General features: G+C 36.6%; 1 protein-coding gene across 37 annotated transcripts in view; it reads left to right on the top strand.

Moving 5' to 3' along the window:
* Positions 1-21,229, top strand: part of CLASP1 (cytoplasmic linker associated protein 1) — a 311,687-nt gene that overhangs the window by 220,799 nt on the left and 69,659 nt on the right. For 7 of the 37 annotated variants that reach the window (XM_047443792.1, XM_047443782.1, XM_006712383.2 and 4 more), the window contains 3 exons: positions 3,358-3,525; positions 17,695-17,798; positions 20,949-21,193. In XM_047443792.1, coding sequence (XP_047299748.1) covers positions 3,358-3,525; positions 17,695-17,798; positions 20,949-21,193 — 517 coding nt within the window. Of the gene's footprint in view, positions 1-1,233; positions 1,261-3,357; positions 3,526-9,934; positions 10,043-14,460; positions 15,386-17,694; positions 17,799-19,616; positions 19,641-20,948; positions 21,194-21,229 lie in introns of those variants that run through there. The other 30 variants (XM_047443791.1, XM_047443781.1, XM_006712382.2 and 27 more) reach the window with 11 other exon arrangements.

The raw sequence follows: 21,229 nt of genomic DNA, 5'->3' as shown, positions 1-21,229 counted from the left end.
CGTTAAGACCAAGAATGCCCTCCTTAGTGTAGAACTTAAACTGGATTTTCATTCAGATCCAGGGTGCAGGTGTAGCCCAGAAGTGTCTGTCGTGGGAACAACTTCTTGGCTCTGGTTATTCTGTTGAACCCTAGTGATGCCTGGAGACACAAAAGGATATTTGACTCATACATATGGGTCAAATTTTACTGCAAAGGAATTCTTGACAAAAAGTGTTCAAATCTCAGAATCTAGGTCAATATAATGAAATTAAGCCAAATAAAAAATGCCTAAGCATGTAATTTTGCAGTGTTGCTTCCCTCTGTGGGGGTTGAGGGTTGAACAGTATTTTACATATTTCTTTCTAATGCTGTTTATCAACACTGGGGTCTTTGGGGTTCCCTGCCCCAGCTAGGTCAATGCTGTAATTTTCTCTCCTATATTGCAGGTTTTAGGAATGTGTAGGTTACCTTGGCAGGTGGTGAAGATTACAGTTCTTTCTCTAATAGTGATTAGGGTGATAATAGAGCTTTAATTTTTCAGTCTTATAAAAATACTGTACCTAGCCTTGGGGCTCCCCTTTTAAAATTCCTTAGTTTTACTTCACTCACCAAATCGTACTCAGGAAGAGTGACCACACTAGCCAGTGATCAAGCCTATACCTTAAGCTTATGCATATAAATTAAATATTTAAAAAATTATTTTAATAAGTGGTAAATCTAAGTGTATATATCACAAATGTAGATATACTAGTATTCATAGTCCTGATTTAATACTAAGTAGGCTTCATTAATATTAGATTTAGGGCCCTTAATAATTGGCATATTTTAAATATTTGAGGTTTATGGGAAGTCAGGACAGGTGAAACTAGTTAACAGCAGTTTCTTTCAGTTAGTTGATGTTTATTGAGCACTTACTATGTGGTAAGCACTTTTGAAGATGGTAGTGATACAGAGATGAGTAAGTTACAATCACTTCCCTCAGGTTGCTTAAAGCTAGAAAGCAGATGTGAGCCTGGCACATTGTAGGTTTGAAAGTGTTTTATGAACAGATCTGAAATAAATGCTAATGTAGAATGACAAAGATAAACATAAGTACAAAAATAGGAGGAACAAGTCCTAGGAAATATAGCTGTTTTGCTAATGTATTTGTGAACAAAGACCTTTGTGTTGTGTTGCATGCTGACCTTCTGTATTGTGTTATTGTCTTTTAATCCACTTTTTGCCTGTCCTTTGGTCTGCTCTCATAATCAAGGATCCAGATCTGCTAATCCTGCTGGTGGTAAGCCATTTCTCTTCTTGCCTTTTTTTGTTGTTGTTGTTGTTGGCATTCTCCCCGACCCCATGTTCCTTGCACAATATTAATTTCTCTCTTTATTGTAAGCTTAGTTAATCTTTCTGCGTTTTTCTTTGTGTTCAAATTCTAGAGTTTGAAATGGATTTCTTTCCCCTTTATACATAGTTTAATAGTTTATATAGCTCAAATTTTATGGGTAAAATTAATAGGTCCTGAGACAAATTCTTCATTGGTTTTTATAATGATTTTTCACTTCAATTTTTAGTTAAATCATTATAAACTATTAATTTTTGTGAGTATTCACCTACGTGGTTCATTTGAATGATGGTGGTTTTGATTTATATAATATGTATTTTTAAATAATATATATTTAAAATAAACACACATATAAATTTACAGGTAAGTGTTGCTTCAAATGCTTTCTTCCTCTGGGTCATTCTATTCTAGTACATAGTAAATGTATACTTTATATTTTAGAATGTATTGCCTTCTCTACTTAGGGAGGTAATCTGTCAATGCAAATGATTGCCATTTGAGTGTATTGGTGTGATGCTTAAAATTTTGTTGTTTCCTCTGAGAGAGAATTAGGTCCCACAAGAAATAGTAATATATGTATCTAGCTACTTACCTATTAATAAAAATTATCAGCCATATTATTTGTTTTTAATTTCCAGTTTTATTGCATACTTCTCAGAGAATGTGGTCCATGTTATTTCTACTGTTGTAGATTTTTTTTTGAGATTTACTTTGAGGCTTAATACACAATTTTTATTTTTAATATTCATGTGTGGAAAGGTAAAAAGAATATGTGTTCTATCTGTTGGGATATATATGTGTATGTGGGAAGTGTGTGTTTTTATACATACATATACACACACAGACACAATTTTGACTGCTCTGTCAATTTCTGTGAGGTATATAGTTTCTCAATATTATTAGTCTTTCCGTGAGGTCTTTCGGTAAGTATGGCTTTTTCCATTTCTTCCTGTACTTTTATCATTTTTTAGTTTTATATTTCAAAACTATGTTGTTTGGAGCATAAAGGTTTGTGATTATTAGATCTTCATGGACAATTATTCTTTCATAAATATTAAATATCCTTCTTTGTCTTTTTTAAATGCTGTGTTTTATTCTATTTGTTTTTGTTTGTGGTGTATTGTTTGACTTTTAAAAATACCAGACAGCTGAATTTCATTTTATTTTACTTTGCATTTTCTTTTCTTTTCTTTTTTGTTCTTTTTTAAGAGACAGGGTCTTGCTCTGTTGCCAGGTCTGAAGTGCAGTGGTGTGATCATGGCTCACTTCAGCCTTGACCTCCTGGGCTCAAGTGATCCTCCCACCTCAGTCTCCCGGGTAGCTGGGACTAGAGGCATGTACCACCATGCCTGACAAATTTTTACAATTTTTGGAGAAGTGGGGTCTCCCTGTTGTTGCCCACACTAGTCTCAAACTCCTGGGCTCAAACTCCTCCCACCTTGGCCTCCCAAAGTGCTGGGACTACAGACATGAGCTACCAGCCCAGGCTTGTTTTAATCTCTTTTAAATCGATGAATTTAATCCAGCCACATTTATTATGATTAACTAATATGTTTGAGCTTCTATCTTATTTTGTGATTTTTATTTACCAGGTTTCTGGTTATTTTATCCCCCTACTCCCTTTTATATCATTTGTCAGATTAATAGAGTTTTCTTGGATTCATTTTCTGTAGCTAATGCTAAGAAAATTGTTATAGTTCTACTTCTGCTCTTCTAGCAGTGACACCTAAAATTTTTAACATAATCAGCTCTTACAGAATTAAAAAAACAAAATAAGAATAAACACCTTTGTGACATTTGTAGTTATTTACTGTGGAATAAGGAGGCTATTCCACCAGTAATTCTTCTAAGTATATTCTTTTATGATATTCAATTGTCTTTTATGCTCCTACATTTAAAAAAATTACTACCACCAAATAAAAATTTATTTTTATATAAAATTGTGTATTTTAGCCAAATTAATGTGTAAAATCTGGCTTTTGAAAGTATTATAGTTCATTCCTACATTTACATCTATTATTCATTGTCATTTTGCTTCACTTTTAGCTGGCAGCCGGTCAAGTTCCCCAGGAAAATTGTTGGGAAGTGGTTATGGTGGACTTACTGGGGGCTCCTCACGAGGCCCACCTGTGACACCGTCTTCAGAAAAGCGAAGCAAGATTCCCAGGAGCCAGGGATGTAGCCGGGAAACAAGTCCAAACCGAATAGGATTAGGTAAGGATTCTCAAAGATCTTGGAATACCATTCCCAGCTTGGTCATAGTTTTGATTATAATCTAATGACTATGTCTAATGTAGGAAATATAGATCTATTTTTTGAACTGAGGATGTCACTTTGCCTGGGTGTGCTTTATACAGATTATGGCATATTGAGGTTTCAGTTAGAAAAATATATGGGACTTAACCCTTCAAATTGATGGGAAGGAATTATGTCATTGTAGGCTTTTGTGTTTTGCAGTCATTGTACAAAGCACTGGAATTGGGGAAATAGCAGGGTGTTTCCCCCACAATTAGAAGCAGTGTTGCTTTTCATTTTCCTTTTACTGATTAGCACTAAGTAGACATTAACCTATATGAATTTTTCAAAAACAGCATTTAGGGTCCACATTTATTTTAATTCTGATCTTCTCTAATCTAATTGGTGAAACTTATGGTGAAAAAATATGCATAGTTACTTTTGACATAGATTTGTTTAAGCATGAAAGCTAGGAATTGATTAAAACCAATACATAATATTTAGTTTTGTGTTACTTAGTTTCTTTGTAATAGTGTGTAGAATCATGTGAATTACTGTCAGCCGCTTAAATACCTTTTGTTCCATTTAAAATCTAATTCATACGCTAACTTTTTAAATATAAAATTTAGAAGTCTTTGTGATATAATACAAAAAATCTAAATTCATACTCTATGACTTCTTTACTTCCTAAGGGTAAAATGTATTAATATAAAATCAGACTACTGTATTCTTAAATTGTGTTGGCTTATCTTTCTCATTTATTCATTTATCTCATCAACAGTGTTTACTGTGATGTACCAGGCACTTTGTTAGACCTGAGAATTAGAAGATACATGAGATAGATTTAGATTCTGACTTCAAAAAGCTTGATATCTATTGGGGAGAGGTGGAAATGTAACACAGTATGACGAATACTATGACAGGGTGCTTCACATAATCAAAACTATGACCTAAAAAAGGAGTATCTTAGACCCTTGGCCACCCCAGATTTCTTGCTAGGGGAGGCTGCCCAGAGTAGATTCTGTTTTCATGAAGTACAAAATGGGATTGGTCCGGGTGGGGAGATGAGGGGAAAGGTTTCTAGAGGAGAGAGAAGCATCTGCAGAAGCAGTCAGGCAAGAGGCAGCCACATGTAATTCATTTGGCTGCTGTAAAGGAAGTCAGAGTGGGTGGGAGTTGGGGGCAGAGACTGGTAGAGTCCAGCTCATGAAAGTCTTTGAAGCCCACCTTAGCTACGAGAAGGCAGGAGAAGATATTTAAGAATGGATAAGATTTGATTTGAAATCCTATTTCCAAAGCAAGTAGAAAGTATTTCTTGGTTTTAGTAAATCTCTATGATGCCAACTTTTTATTGGCATTGCGTAGTGTGGTCTCTTAGCTGACAAGTTATTTGGGTGTTGATGTGGATACAATCATAGAAAAGGTCACAGCTGGAATATCTGAATTTTATGTCTGATGCTGTAACATATTTGTGTTTGGAAAATGCATTTGATTTTAAATCTAGGTGTTATGTTTTAGCTGTCTTTTTCCATAGTTAATTGTTTAAGTTTATAGGATGTCTGTTTGCAATCCATGTTAGTTTTATACATTTAAAGATTCTTTTCTGTTTTGAGATTTTTTTTCCTTTTATATTATTAAAGATGCCATTTTAATCTTCTTCTTGAAATTGGGAAATAACCCAACTTCATTTATCTAACATAATTCTAATGTGTTCCATGGTTTTAACTAGGAAGTTTGTGTTGTGTGTAGTTGAAAAGACAATATTTTATATGTTTTTAAAACAGTTATTATGGAGCATCAGTAGGAACTTAAGCCTGTTCCCTTCCAAAGAGTTATTTGAAATATTATTTGAAGAAAGTTATTTCCTTGATGCTAATTAAAGGGATCAGTTACGTGTAGAGCTTTGAGGTCATACATATAGTTTATATTAAAGAAGATATTTTCTTTAAATTTCCACACATTGCGAGAATATATGCATATAAAGAAATCTATATGAATAAAATGTATTTTCATTTTTTTCCTGTGGTATTGCTTAGAGATTGCATTTAATAGGGTGGCAGACATAATAGCATTATTCAGTAATAGATTATATATTACTATTATCATTTAGTATATACTGGATATATGCCTGTGTTTCTTAACATTTGACTCATTGTATAGCAGTTTTCAATATAATTGTTGAAAAAAAGAGGAGGAACATCTTTTAGGAATATTTTCTATAATTCCCAAACCAACAAATTCAACAGTTTTAATGATAGCTAAACTAGGTTTGGAATTTGCACTGAGAATTAATCGTAGTTATCTACAAATCGTGTTTGGTTCAACTATGCCTCTTTTTGTTTGAAATGATACTTCTTAACAAAATTTTCTTTTTTCATTTGTTTTAAAACTGATGCCAAGGCTCTTCTTTGGCATTTAGATTTTCTTAAGCAGAACAGCCTGTAATTCCTATTAAATATTCAAGAAGCAAAATATATCCCTGATACTCTTTTTTCTTGGTGATTTGTTCCCTCATAAGCTATCTGACTAGGAAAATGTATTTTTAAGTTGTTTTATTTCTGTGTGTCTTAAAGATAATACTTTATAGATACAATAAAGTCACATAAATCACTAGTATCTATAGTGATTATATTTTGGAAGTTTGCCCTTGTTCCCTTCTCCCACTCCTCTATGGAAAGGCTATGAAAACACATTTGACATTTTTGCAGCTTTCATTCTGTGGATGTGTATTTTAAATGTTAAGGTTTTCTGGTTAAAATACTTTGAAATAATTAAACATTAATAATAGTTCATTTCAACTGTGAAATTAGACTACTGTCTAAGACCAAGACATGAAAATGTCTAGACCAGAGAGACATTTCATGTCTTTAACTTCTGGTTGTTTTTATTAATTCTCTTATATTCTGCTTTTATGAGTCCTGGTTGGACCCTTCCTTAAGATGTAAAAGTCAAGATTACCATTAAAACACTGAAGTAGGGTAGAGTGTCTATCAAGAAATGTAAACCAATCAAATGGGTATCTTACGGCTTCCCAGCATTTCATGTAAGCAGAAGACCCCAGAGGTACCTAGGAATACTGCTTTTTTAGGAAGTTCACAGTACAAGTATGTTTTCCTGGTCTCTCCCTCTTATGCCTTCTCTTCTGTAACATATTTTCACATAGAACATTTAGTTTGGCACTTAAAGAGACAAGACTATTTTGGTGGGATTTTCTTCTTTTAGTTTTGATCACCTAATTAATTCATTTATAAAAAGTCATTTATATACTTATTTTAGGCCGGGTGCAGTGGCTCACGCCTGTAATCCCAGCACTTCGGGAGGCCGAGGTGGATGAATCCCTTGAGGTCAGGAGTTGGAGACCAGCCTGACCACCATGGCAAAACCCCATCTCTATTAAAGATACAAAACTTAGCTGGATGTGGTGGTGCGTGCCTGTAATCCCAGCTACTTAGGAGGCTGAGGAAGGAGAAGCACTTAAACCTGGAAGGCGGAGGTTGCAGTGAGCCGAGATTGCGCCACACATTCCAGCCTGGTCAACAGAAGAAGACTCTGTCTCAAAAATAAAAAATAGGCTGGGCACAGTGGCTCACACCTGTAATCCTAGCACTTTGGAAGGCTAAGGCGGGTGGATTGCCTGAGCTCAGGAGTTCAAGACCAGGCTGGGCAACATGGTGAAACCCCGTCCCTACTAAACTACAAAAAATTAGCCGGGCATGGCGGTGTGCACCTGTAATCCCAGCTACTCGTGGGACGAGAATCACTTGAACCCAGGAGGCGGAGGTTGCAGTGAGTCAAGATCACACCATTGCTCTCCAGCCCAGGTGACAGAGCAAGACTCCGTCTCAAAAAAAGAAATTAAATAAATAAATATACTTATTTTAAATCCTTCTTTTAGATTAGTCTTTCAAAGTAGTAGTATAAGTGAGTTTGTATTTCTCTTGTATTTTAAATTATTTAACATTTGAACCATGGATGTCACCACTAGATTTACTTTGATGAGTAAATGATGCCAAAGCTCTTGAGGTTTAGGGTAACTATGGCCATATTTTCACAAAATCATAAACGGACAATTAGTTTTCTCTATACTGCTACTAGCCATATGTTAAATGAGAAAATCAGCTCGAATGGGTGAATGAACTCTCTCTGGGTGAAATACCGGAGGGGGGTAAACCTTGTTAAGAAATTTATGCATACTGTTATTTCAGATCATATCTGTTTACTGCTGTTAATGCTTTTTATTGTCTTCACAAAACAGACTCAGACGAAAAAGAGCATTTTTTTCCCCGTTGTTCTAGCATGTATATGAATTTAAGGAAGGGGATGGGGCTAGGAAGAATTCAGAAATAATCAGGCAAGAACTATTAAGAAAATGCTCAACTAAGCATGAACTTGTTTAAACAACTATCAAGACCTTTTATAGCTTTTTTATTATTTGTTTTGGAGTGGGCAGTGGAATACGACAAAATTTTTACATGTGCTCTTCAGCAAGGGACTTGGAAATACTTATGTATGTGCATTATCTCACAGTACCCTTCTCATTTAAAATGAGGGGACGTGTTCTTTTTCCTCGTTTTCCTAATGGGAGGCTTGAGACCCAAAGAGGCCAAGTGGCTGGACCAGTGAGATAGCATGGAGCTGGAATGGTCATTTTTTGACTCAGATTTGGCATTGGTTCTCTAAGGATGAGTGGTATTGCTGTGTACATTCTAGGAAAGTTGTCCGTATTGGTAGAGCCAGTACACACGCTCCCTAGTTTTTTAAGCATTTAATTTGGCATCTCCTTTTGTCATCATTGTAGGAGCTGTTTAGAATGTCATCAAGAATTGCTGACTAAATAGTCACTACTACTTTGAGTGAAAATTCAGTGCTTTCACATCACTCTGGCAAAATTAAGGAGAGCTTAAGAATTTCTGGTGAACCCCCAATAAAGCCCTTTATGTCTAGATTGTTGAGATTACGTTCCTGTGCTTGACTTTTTTTTTTTTCCCTGAGCAGTAGTAAGCATTTGGATATCACTTAAATGCCTTCAGAGTCTAGTTCCACTCTAGTACTGAGCAGCTGAGCACAATAGAAAGTTGGCTTTAGTTTTCCCTTTCGTATTCTTTTTTTAATCAGGGAGTGTTATGGTTCTGGTTTATAAGACATTCTTGTTATACTTTGGCTGTATAATAAATCTTTGCTCTCAAACAATAGACTATGCTCATTGCAGTATAGAAACATACTTGTTTTGATATCAGTGATTCAAGTTGATTGTTTCTAAAATGTCTTGACATTTTTTCCAGTCCATCCTCTCAGGATGGAAACGTATATTGTCCCCATCAGCTATTACATTAGGCATTCCACCTACATGTATTCAGTATACAAGGTTGTTTTGGAGTATTTTCCCAGTAATGTATTTCCATTTTCTCAGATGGAGAAACAAGGGTATCCTGGTCTTTTCTAAGCTTCACAGCCCAGTTATTATGAGACCCTGGGCTATTCATGCAATTCTGTCTTGTAGTCTCGGTGTTTTATAACATGAGAATGATTAACTTTAGCCGTAGATAATCAGAAAGTTATTTGCTGTTCTCAGGTCAGTGGAGAGATCTTTCCCCAAATACTGAGAGTATTGATCTACTTGCTCTAGACACAGTGTGAAAGACTGGGTCAGTGGTGGTGCTTGGTAGAGCACAGGCAGATCTTTTCAGATTTTCATAGAAAAAGCAGGGATAAAATGTTGGGATCAGTAAAGGAAAGGATAACAGTCCCCACTTTTTATATCTGCTGGTTTCGAGAATTGGATATGTTTGAAGCATCTACACACTTACTTGGAGTGGGTAGGCTCTCTCTCTGGTTGTGTCAACTCTTATGGCTTCTCTTGGTGAAGATGGCCAGCCTGGGAGCAGTGAGCCCTCTTCCTTATCATTAGGTAAGTTCATGGACTTCAGTGACCAGTGTGGTTATTCTGTTTGTTAATCCAAATTAAATTACCTTTCTAAGAAACAAGTGCATATGAATACAGCTTTGGTTTTTTGTCCTCTTGTTGAGAAGTTTGCTAAGCTCATAAAAACTGATCGTTTCTAAAAGGCTTTTGATCTTGTATTTTCTGATGACAGTTTGTTGTTCAGAAAGATTTCTTTTCACTTCTTACATTTAGGTGTAATTTCACCTTCGTACTGAAATTCACAGCTTTCTGAGGTATTGAGCATAATCACATTTTACCCAAACCCTCCCCCGTTGGCACGTCAGTCAGTGAGACCTCAGCATGGATAGGTGGCTCAGTCATCAGAACTCCCCAGCGCGAACAATGTCGTAATTACATTAACCAAATGTGACTGACATTTTGTGAGTTTATCTGTCTTCATTAAACTTGTTCACCTTCTCTGAAACCCTTCATGCTGCACGCTAGCACGGAGCAGCCGTATCCCTCGACCCAGCATGAGTCAGGGGTGCAGCCGCGATACCAGCCGTGAGAGCAGCCGAGATACAAGCCCTGCTCGGGGCTTTCCTCCACTTGGTGAGTACACGTAGGTGCTGGCTGAGGAGCAAAGAGTTCCTTTCCCTGCTTGTCCGAGACACTGCTAGGCGGAATGACCTGCTTTTCCTCCTCTACTGTCCTTGTGATCCTTTCTTCTTTCTTTCCTCTTCCTTAGTTACCCCTTGTCCCCCTCTGCATGCTTGAATTTTGGCAACTTCGAATTTTTATATATTAGAGGAAAAAAACACCACTTCACTCTGTACTGTTGTCATTGTGACCACTTGCTCTTGGGCAAGCCCATCTGTGTGGTAATTTCTAACCTAAGGCAAAACTCAGCCGAAGTTAGTTGCTGCTTAAAAGTAAAGTTAATCCAAAGTTTATTCTTAGTCATTGAATTTTTACAATTTATCTTTAATTTTACTACAGATCAGTCTATATGTAATTTAATTCAAAGAAGGAACAAAAGTACAATAGCGATAATGTTTAGTAAAGTAAAGTGAGTTTTCTTTTTAGAGTTAATAGTCCTGCCATCTCTAAAATGGACACATAATAAACCCTTTTTAGTTAGTATAAACTGTCGATCCCCAAAAGACATCTGTCAACACATACTTTTGTGAAAAGGAATATTTTGTATTCTTCAATAATTATTTTTGGCTGCTGGCCATGTTAAGTGCTGTACAGATGTCCATTTTCCTCTTGATAAGCATAAACGTAGAAATCATTTTATAATACTTAGACGTAGACCTGAAATTATGTGGATCTGTGGACTCCAGCAGTCTGTTAATTTTAACTATGTATTTATGTAACTGGTCTTTTGAAAACTATACATGCCACTACGAAAGAGGGATGTTAAATCAAAAGCATAAGGTCTTAATATTTGCCTCTACCTAGCCCCTTCTAATGTTATTCACTTCTTCTGATCTTTTTTCCCTAATCAGTGTCGGTAATCAAAATCTAGATGTATTTCTTTATGACCCATTGTCCTTTATGAAATTCTGAAAAAGAACAGGTAACCAGATGCCAAAGCCCTGCTAGATGGTCCCTGTGATTTAGCGAGGCAATACCTGTTGTGAGGTGTTCCACCTTGTTAGCATGAGCCCTTGAGTGGGGCACCTTACCTATTGCATGTCACCTATTCCACAGCAGTCTGAAGCATTACAGCAGAATTCTCAATAATCAGAGGTGGCAATGATTTTTTTTTTTTTTCTGAATGAACTGGTGATTTTTCCTTTTAAATTAAGGCTGTATATCTTTGCATCCTTGCTCACTATTTGACCTTCTGAACAACCTATTTATGAGTAAAATTCAATCCTTTATTGGTTATTTTGTCTCTTAGAAGCAATTCAGTGTTTTCCTTTCAAATATGTACTGTTATTTTTGATACTGTCCGTGGAAGCATCCTTTGGAATCTGGCATGTGGAGCAGGCAAGGTGTGCTGAATTCTTGAGATCCTAATTGAACTCTGAGTGGTTGAGTGAATCTGGTCTGTTTTGTACATTGTTTGATTAAATGGATCTGCTTAGCTGTCTTGGTGACAACCCAGAATGTTGAAATGTGTAATTGCCACTACCAAGGCAGAAGGCGTGGGTCCTCACAGGCTCTAGCATCAGCACGTCTTCTGTTGTGGTCAGGGCAATAGTTAAGGTCTTCGAGCTAAAATTTTTGTATCATGCTTTTCCCCACCTTGGGTTAAACCTAACCCTAAAACTTATGTCCAGCAAGAACAACAGCATTGCTCATGTGTACACACACCGTTTGGAGCAGTCAGCAGGCATAATGCCTTGTGGTCCCTGTTCATCCTCTGGGACAGGTATTATCATCGTCAGAGTCTTAGGCAGAATAAGCCACTTTCTCAAGATCATGCAGCTAAATGGTGGAGCCAGGGTTTGAATTCAGGTTTGACTTCAAGCCTGCCTCATTTGGAAGTAGTTTGGATAATTCAGTGTCTTTCATCTGTTTCTCGAAAATATATTAAATGCTTGTTCTGAGGCTTCTTGGGGTCGGGGGTTAGAAGAAGTTTCTGAGTCATTTATTTCCAGGCTTGGGGTTAGGACCTGGGAACTCAAAGATATATCCCAGAAGGTTGTTGTCCTCAGGGGAGCTTACTACACATCCTCTGAAGGTTCCTTCTTTAGCTCATTCATTTTAATAATCTCTTCCCACCCTTTTTGGAAATTAGTGAGATTGTGTGTCAGTGCTTCTTTGAATCCACTTACGTAGCCAGCTCTTTAACAACAACAACAACAAAAAGAATGACAGTACTTATATTCTAGTGAATATATATTTTTAAGTTTGCATTTTTATTGTTTTGGACCATTTTGATGGTATGAATATATATGGTTATGGTGATAATTTTTGATTAAGGGAAATTAAGGGCTCTAGGGCTGCTATAAATTAGGCTTTCACATAAGTGGGTCTACCTTGGATTCCAGTGTTGGGTGTTAACTTGTGAATGTGACAGAGGACTCATGGCATGACAGATTTTTTTTAGAATATTCTGTTGAAACTGAACTAAAGGACCACTTTTTAAGGAACCTACATATCAGGTACTGCTTAAAAACTATTTCAGTCTGAACTATCAAGATAGTGATGTGCTTGTACAAAATGTATAGTTTGCTTCAGTCTTAAGATATTTTACCAACTTCCTTATTTAGGGAAAGTGATAATTTTATAATATTCTTTGCCAATTTAGTTTTAATTTTTGTGAATCTTGAGAAAGGGATATTTTCCTTTTTTTGCAAGCTGGTAAAAATTGCCAGGTAATCTTTGCTATTTAATACCACATGTACCATAGAGATGCACATTTCATAAAGTAACATGGACCTTAAAAATTATATTGAAGAATTTGAGGTATTGATATTTTATGACTGAATGTGAGAGCGTTAACATGTACAGAATACTCTAGTAGTACAGATAAAATGTAGCACTGCTTAGTATTATTTTGTTAAACCTATAAATTTTCTGTGGTATAATCACTGTGAATTTTTCAGAGTAATGAATGGAAGCATATTATCTTTTGTTTTTCCTGAGGTTAACGAAAAGCCGTATGTTGCATGAAACTGTAGTCAATAAGTTAATGTTTTGAACCAAGTCTTTATTTCATAATTATTTCTAAAAGTTGTTTTCTATCCACATGAGGACAGAATTTAGCATGTATTTCCCTCAGGTTGATGAAGTAATATGCTCACTAAGAATACTTGTTAATAAAATGGTACTATAATGTCAGATTGTAAATTTGAGGTTGCTCTTAACTGTTACTGCCACCACCAGCACCACCCAACACTACTAACCAATGTTTAAGTTGCTTTATAATCTCTTTTAATCCACTCAGTAACTCCCAAGAGGTAGGTACCATTAACCATTATTAGCACCATTTTACAAACAAGATACTGAGACACAGATAGATTTAGTACTTTGCCCAAGGTCAGTCCTATGGCTAGTTGTGATCCAACGAGCATTTACAATTGCATTACTGAGCTGGTACTCATAACCAGTGTACTGTAACTGCCTCTCCAAGGAAGATCATTGAACTTAATACAGCTAAATTCAAACGATTACACAAGTACTAATAATTAGGATATGGCCAGGCGTAGCGGCTCACACCTGTAATCCCGGCACTTTGGAAGGCTAAGGCGGGAAGATTGCTTGAGCCCAGAAGTTTGAGACCAGCCAGGCAACATAGGGAGACCTCGTCTCTACAAAAAAAAACAAAGCCGAATGTGGTGGCACATCCCTGTAGTCCCTGCTACTTGGGAGGCTGAGGCAGGCGGATCTGCTTGAGCCTGGGGAATCAAGGCTGCAGAGAGCCATTATTGTGCCATTGCACTTCAGCCTGGGCAACAGAGTGAGACCTTGTCTCAAAACAATAGTAATAATAATAATTAGGATATTCATGCAACAGAACAACAAACATTTTGACTGGGGAAAATGGAATTCTAACTGTTGAACCCCCTTCCTGTGATTTTATTTTATTTCCGTTGAAGTAACATTATGAACTTCTATGCTTGTTTTTGGTGCATGGTTGCATATGCATCACATACTGATAAAACATCTCGTGAGCTAACAATCCGTCTTACTGCCATTCCGCTCTGGGATGTAGACGGTGCTCTGTGACTCCTGCTGTTCTTCATGTTGCATATGTCCATACTGGCTGATAGAGGCTTCATGGCGTGAATATAACCCTGGAGTCCGAGTTGGTTGATGCATACTTAGTTTGGAGCACCTTTAAGAGCGCCTTTGTTGTGCCTGTGTGTTTAATAGCTGTGTGAGAGCCAGCTGGCCACTGTGAAGTTTGGGGATTGGCACTTGCTGTCCATTCATATCCAGCACCATTTCTTCTCGTGAGAAAACATGGCCTTGTTGGTAGCAGTCTCTGCATTTCCTCTGGACTGTGGCATTTTCTGTCTCTGGTACTTCTGTGTTAATCCTGTGGGTGTTGCCATTCCTTTTACCTGCAGCCTCTCGACGTCATTCCAGGTCCACTAGTGCTCTCTCCACTGCTGAATCTGTTGGGCAGTCAGGTGAACAAGTGCTAACTGCATGACTTGGCTTCTTCATATGTTCTAGTTTCACACCCATGTCAACATTTGTTTTCATCTGTGTCGGCTAGCACTTGGCATGTTTGCACCTCATATTTTTTCCCCAATGTGCTTTAATTTTTTTAAGTTATTGAATGTTTATAGTTCTGTTAATAGGCTGTAGATGCTTCATAGCCTGTTTGACAACATCGTTTCTCCAGTGTTCATATTTACGTTAAAACAACAGGGAAGTAATTCCCTTCCTGCCACTCTGTCCCCAGGAAAATAACCAAAATTAGGTATTATTTAGGGTTCCTGTGGGGCAAGGGGGCATGGATATCATCCAACAGATTCTTTCCCTTCCAAAGTCTTTACTCCAAATAAACTGTCAAATATTAATGCTAGTTATTGATGTCAAGTTCACATTTTTAAGGTACCATTTAGTTAACAGCGCTGCAAATTATAGCATACATAATTTCATATGTATGAAAATAAGTGTATTGTTCTCAAAGTTTTATGGAAAAACAAGATCAGGATTCAGGTAATCAAGTCAGGCCAGAGGTATCCTTTGCAGCCTGCAAACCCCAAACCTGCTCTCTCAGCTCTGTTTAGCAATACTCAACATCCACTGGTTAGCCACAGTGGCAAAAAGTAAGCATACAGTAATACATCAATTTGTTAGATTTAACTGCCACTATTTTTATATGCTAACAGTCCCTAATGACTACAATTTTCTCAATTGAGTAAGGCATAATCTATGAATTTTCAGACCATTGATGGTAACAATTGTTACCAATTCACCGAGTCTGGTATTTTCTCTTTTCTTCTTCTAAATGAAGCCCCCTTTGCTTTTTTTGTTTGTTTGTTTTTGTTTTTTGTTTTTGAAACAGGGTCTTACTCTGTTGCCCAGGCTTGGAGTGTAGTAGCGTGATCTTGGGTCACTGCAACCTCTGCTACCTGGGCTCAAGCGATCCTCCCACCTCAGCCCCCCAAGTAGCTGGGACTACAGGTGCGTGCCACCATACCCAGCTAGTTTTTGTTGTTTTTTGTAGAGACGGGATTTCACTGTGTTGCCCAGGCTGGTCTCAAAACTCTTGGGCTCAAGCGATTTACCCACCTTGGCCTCCCAGAGTGCTGGGATTACAGGCAAAGCCGCCGTGCCCAGCCTCCTATATATTCTGATTATGTACATTTCCCTGAAGATTAGGGACCAGACTGAGAGCACAGTCATAGGTATTCATCTCTTGGAAAAATCAGACTTCATAATAGTATCAGAGCCTTGAGAATATGGAACAGACTTTGCTCTGGCGAAAACATAAAGCTTATAGTTTTGCTTAGATCCAGATAAACATTTCCCCTTAAGATTTGAAATTCAAATTGTCTGTGATATATATCAAATGATCTATAGTCACTCTGTATGGCAAAGCTGTATGCATCTTGGAAGCACAGAATAATTGCATTGTTCTTATAGTTTTAATTTTGTATCTGAAAAAATCTGTATATTCCCTGGAGCAAGAATTGCTGGCATGAGATTTTTTTTTTTAAATTTTATTAGACTTCGTTTTATTTAAGTTTATGCTGGGTAATTTTTTAATGGCTTATAATTGAATTACTTTCATTCTGTTACTCATAAGTCTCCTACTATCTACCCTTTTTTAATGAAAAAAAAAACTTGAACAAAGATCATCTGTAAAACTATGTGTGCATAGTAAATCTCACATTTACACTTGTTTCATATTTCAACTGATATAGATAAATGTAATTTTTAATGGCCTTTCTTAGTTTATATGGCACATTACCTTTTAAACATAATGGTTAAGATGACAGTTGGAAAGACCAGCAAATGCATTAAAAAAGGGGATAGTATAACATACAGTTTTTGTTTCTTTTTAAAAAATTCATGACTGTATAACTATTGATTAGCAGTGTTTAAATTTTTCTCCATTTCTGTGGTGGTGGAAGGTATAATGTTTTGAAATTGACATTTTTAAAAAGCTAAATAACAATTCACTTTTTAAGTTCACCAGTTTTGTAGGCACTGTCTTGTTGCATATCTAAAATTTTAAATACATTGTTTTATAGGAAAGATCAATTCATGTAAAATAGATATTAGCTTCCCTTTTATTCTAGATGCTTCCAGAATATAGCTAACATAGAGATTTTCGTTGTCCAAACGAAGTCTTATTTGTTAACACAGAGAAAATATTTTATCTTAACATTTTTCTTCCAAAGGTTTTTATACATTGGACTTTTAAATAAGAAATTTTTTACTGGTAGATAATGTACAACACACTTAATGAAGATACAACTTACACTGCCTTTCTCCTAGTATAGTTTTAATCTCCAGCACTTCCTAAGGAAGGTTGGTCAGCTGATTTAATGGGACTTTAAAAAGTGAGTTTTCATTTCCATGATCACAAGTAAGCTTAAAATACTTGTTTGAACTACTAAATTTGTTTTAAATTCTTTGGATTCTTTCTATTATTTGTTTATCTGTATAAAAATTGCCATTCTAAATTATTTGAGGAACCCAGGTAAAACTTATATTATCTAAATTTTTAATGTTCTTCAGTGAAAGTGCTAGATTTTTTTAGTGATTATTAAATAATTTTAATAAATTGATTTTTAAGTAATTTTTGTTGACACAGGCATCGTGACGAACAAGTATCTAAAATTAAATGAGCTTAACAATAGTTAAACAGAAGTGACACTAATAAAAATTTGCACAGAAATCAATTTAATACATTTGTTTCAAATTTTAAGCTTTTACCACACATTGCATTAGAACTCTTATGAAACCATGAAGCTTTCTAATTAGTTTGACCAAACATCAAGGCCACTTGCCTCTACAGGGAAAGCTAAATAGATTAAAAGACTCAACTCATAGCCTAGCTACCTTTTATAATAAGTTCCCGCTTCCCTCTCATATCAGAAACTTTTCAATAATAAAATACCATGTTTGAACAATTTCGAGTGACAGTGCTTTGTGGCACTATAGCATTAAATGTGAACAGCTTAACCTCTACCACTGGTAAACAAGTCAAGTGTAGTTAAAATTGGCTAGAGACTTTTCAGTACTTCTGTCTACTTGGTGGGAAGAGGCAGTAGTCCTTGCAAGGAATTGAAATAATTTGAATTAAAGTGACACATCTTTTGCTTTTGTTTTTTAAATAGATCGGTTTGGGCTTGGCCAGCCAGGAAGAATACCTGGTTCTGTGAATGCCATGAGAGTTCTGAGCACAAGTACAGATCTTGAAGCTGCTGTTGCTGATGCTTTGGTAAGAGGCACAGTATGTATGTACACAGTCTTTTTGAAATACTCATCTGCATTTCTCTCTGTCCTAACAGGAAATTGCCCCCAAATCAGGTTATGAATTCATCTTTGAAACTCTTTAAAATTGTGTTAATGTTGGGTAAATTTATATTGTTATTGTTTGCCCCTTAAACTTTTACCTCTGCACACATATAAGTGAAAATGGACTTTACAGAAAATATTAGCATCAAGTATTTCTTATCTGTGCTCTTCAGTATCAAGGAGCTTTTGATGACCCTGGACTTCTCAGATGTCATTGGGCTTCTTTTTTTCTTTTTAACCATGTTTTTTTTTCTGGCATTTCCTTTTTTCCATTCTGTTGCTTCTGTTGCTTTACAGACTTTGATGGCATAACCTAGACATATTATTATAATAATAGGTAATAGAGTTTGAGGTTTGAAAATCTTGCATTTATTCTATTATCTTGTCTGTTTGATTTTATGTTGTTTTTCCTAAATCTTTGAGGATGTGAAGCAGTGGTGGAATATGTTTTTGCATCATTATAGTGTAATATCTGAAAAACATAAATGATCATGGATCCTTTAATTTTTTTGGTTATACCAAAAAGTTTCCTAGTAGAATCAGCTTGTGGTCAGATTGCTTTTTAAAGATGCATTTCAGCTAGTCACACAGTCTCTTGCATATTCTGGTTTATGTGCTCAGCATTTGAAATGGATATTCTTTAGAACTGTCTGATCACTGGCCTTGCTCTTGCTGTTTTAAGATTTATTCTCTTGTAAGGGAAAAAAGTATGTAATATCCTGCTTTCAGACTCTGAAGTTTTTAATCCAGCCATGTTTTGTCAGATCAACATTTTATAGTTTATGGCTATGGTGATTCCAGTTTTCATTCCTTCTTGTCTTGCCCTCATTTATTCCTGCTCAGTCAGGTTCTTTGACAAGTGTCTGTGAGCAGTTTGCTGCTCTCCTAATCCTTTTCCTGTAGGCAAGCTGCCTGGCCACCTGTATTCCTCAACCTTATGTATAGAAAGACTTTTTTCTGGCAGGTGCTAGAGTTCAGGGTAACTGCTCTAACCATGGCTTTAGGAGTCAAGAGCTGGAACAGAATTATCTGAAGCTGTTTGTCCTTCCAAGTTGCAGCATTTAGAATCTGTATCTTATTTGTTCAGAGACCCTGGGAAGTGGAGGTCAAAGGGGTGGGAAATGATGGATGTGAAACCCTTAGTTGAGACTTCCACTTAAGGCAGGGAAATTTCTTAGTTCTTTAAAGAACTGCATAAGGGACTGTGTGTAAAGTTCTAGGAGGCGGAATAGGACTTGAGAGTTTGAGCTTTGGCTTAACTTGACTGGAGCTTTTCTCTGAGCTCTAGCTCCCATTAGATTCATGCTGCCCTTGTTACTTTTTGTCCAAACTGTTGAGTCTCTCCAAGTGACCTGCTTCTGAAGAGAAAACACAGAAATGGTACAGAATCTTTGCCTCGCTGAATAGACACCACGGCGCCAGACAGAATGTCTCAGAGGAATAGATAGTAGAATTAATGGTGACCTTAGAGATTTGCCTCACCGATATGGGAAAAGTTTTAGCAAAGAATTACAGCAAGTTACCAGAAGGTCTTCTGAGACGTGGAGGAGGGTTAGGAAATGCCATTTTGAAAGCATTCTTTATTATTATTAGCTTGATATGAAACGCTTGCTAACCTGTATTTTTGGTTTGCTAAGATATGTTTTGCTGTACACTTTTGTTGCAAGAACAATCCCTACATATGCTTCTGACATAATTCTCTATGCTTTTTCCCCATCCTTCAATATTTTCCTGCCTACAGCTGTTAGGAGACTCCAGGAGCAAGGTACCAGTCCTTTAACTTTTGTTTTACAACTTTATTTCTCCTGTTGCAAGTATATTTCTTTTAGAAGCTAGTGAAAACCAAAAAATGTAGTATAGAAATTCTGGTCTGAAATATGATTTTGTTGAATCATAACAGTGATTCACCATCATTGTTGTCTTTATTCATGGTGGAGTCAGCCACCTTTCATGTACATCTGTTTTAGTATTTATTTTGAATGTCAAGCTCTGCTCCTTCGCCTAGTAGTGTTTCATTTTATTAACTCAGTTTGTGCCTATTCTTACGTCGTCATGATTTCATGAATGGATTTATCAACATTTTTCTTATTTTAGGAATCTGGATTTTGTGTGACCATGTAATTTATTATCCAAACAAAAATGCTTTTGAGATTAAAAGGGGGATGCTATCAATAATTATGACAATAAGCTTAAGGCAGAACAGTCCTGAGCAAGTTGGATTAACAATAATACGCCATATTATTAAAGAAGTATATTTGTATGGTTTAAGCCAATCGCTATTTGTTTTGTTTTTATCAATTTTGTATAGTTGCTGCTATATCATATTTGTGGGTATAACAGTTTTGTATTCAGGGTCAGAGAAGTGAATAAAGTGGGTATTATAGTCTACTTTCAAAGAAGCCTATTTGTGTTTCAAAACCCTAAGTCTTTAATAAAAGTGGCCAGGAGTTCAAAACCAGCCTGGGCAACAGAGGGAGATGACTTAGAAATCCTTTTATGTGGGCTGCTTCTGCCATTGACATTTCAAATTCTGACTTTTTTAGGAAACATAAATATTCACACAAGTTTACCCATAGACTGTGCTCAAGATATATTGCTTTTGACTGGGGAGGGGCTGTTGGCTGCACATATTTGCATTGTGCCAGGTGCCCAGCTGAAATATTTAACATATAATTTCATTTAATCTTCACAACAAGCCTGTATGATAGGTTTAATTATTGTTGTCTTAAAGATGGGGAAACTGAAGCAAAAGGCCTAGGAGGCTTTCAGAAGTCATGCAGCCCAGTCAGTGTTGGCACCAAGGTTGTGATCTGTCTGTCTTCCTGTAAAGTCTACGCACTTTACTAGAGGCCATACTCTTTCCCTTCTACTACAGAGTGCTTTGCTTATTTACCTAATGGAAAACTGCTTTTCTGTTTTTATTTCCCTAATCTATAAGCACAGGAAAAGTGTGTGTGTGCATGTGTCTTTTTACACTTAACTCTTTGTTGTAGATTTTGTTTGGTGTGACTCACAGTCATTTCACCTTTCTATTTCTTCCTCAATCACTCCCATCCCTCATTGGACCTGTCAGAAGAAGCCTGTGAGGAGGAGATATGAGCCGTATGGGATGTATTCTGACGATGATGCCAACAGTGATGCCTCAAGTGTTTGCTCTGAGCGCTCATATGGCTCCAGGAATGGTGGCATTCCCCATTATCTGCGGCAGACTGAGGATGTAGCAGAAGTTCTCAACCACTGTGCTAGTTCAAACTGGTCAGAAAGGAAAGAAGGGCTTCTGGGCCTGCAGAACTTACTGAAGAGCCAAAGAACACTGAGGTGAGGACCACAGCAAGAATATGAGCTAAGTTTGAA

This window comes from Homo sapiens, chromosome 2 (assembly GCF_000001405.40).
Source record: "Homo sapiens chromosome 2, GRCh38.p14 Primary Assembly".
Classification (NCBI taxonomy): Eukaryota; Metazoa; Chordata; class Mammalia; order Primates; family Hominidae; genus Homo; species Homo sapiens.
This window is presented reverse-complemented; position numbering and strand designations above follow the sequence as displayed.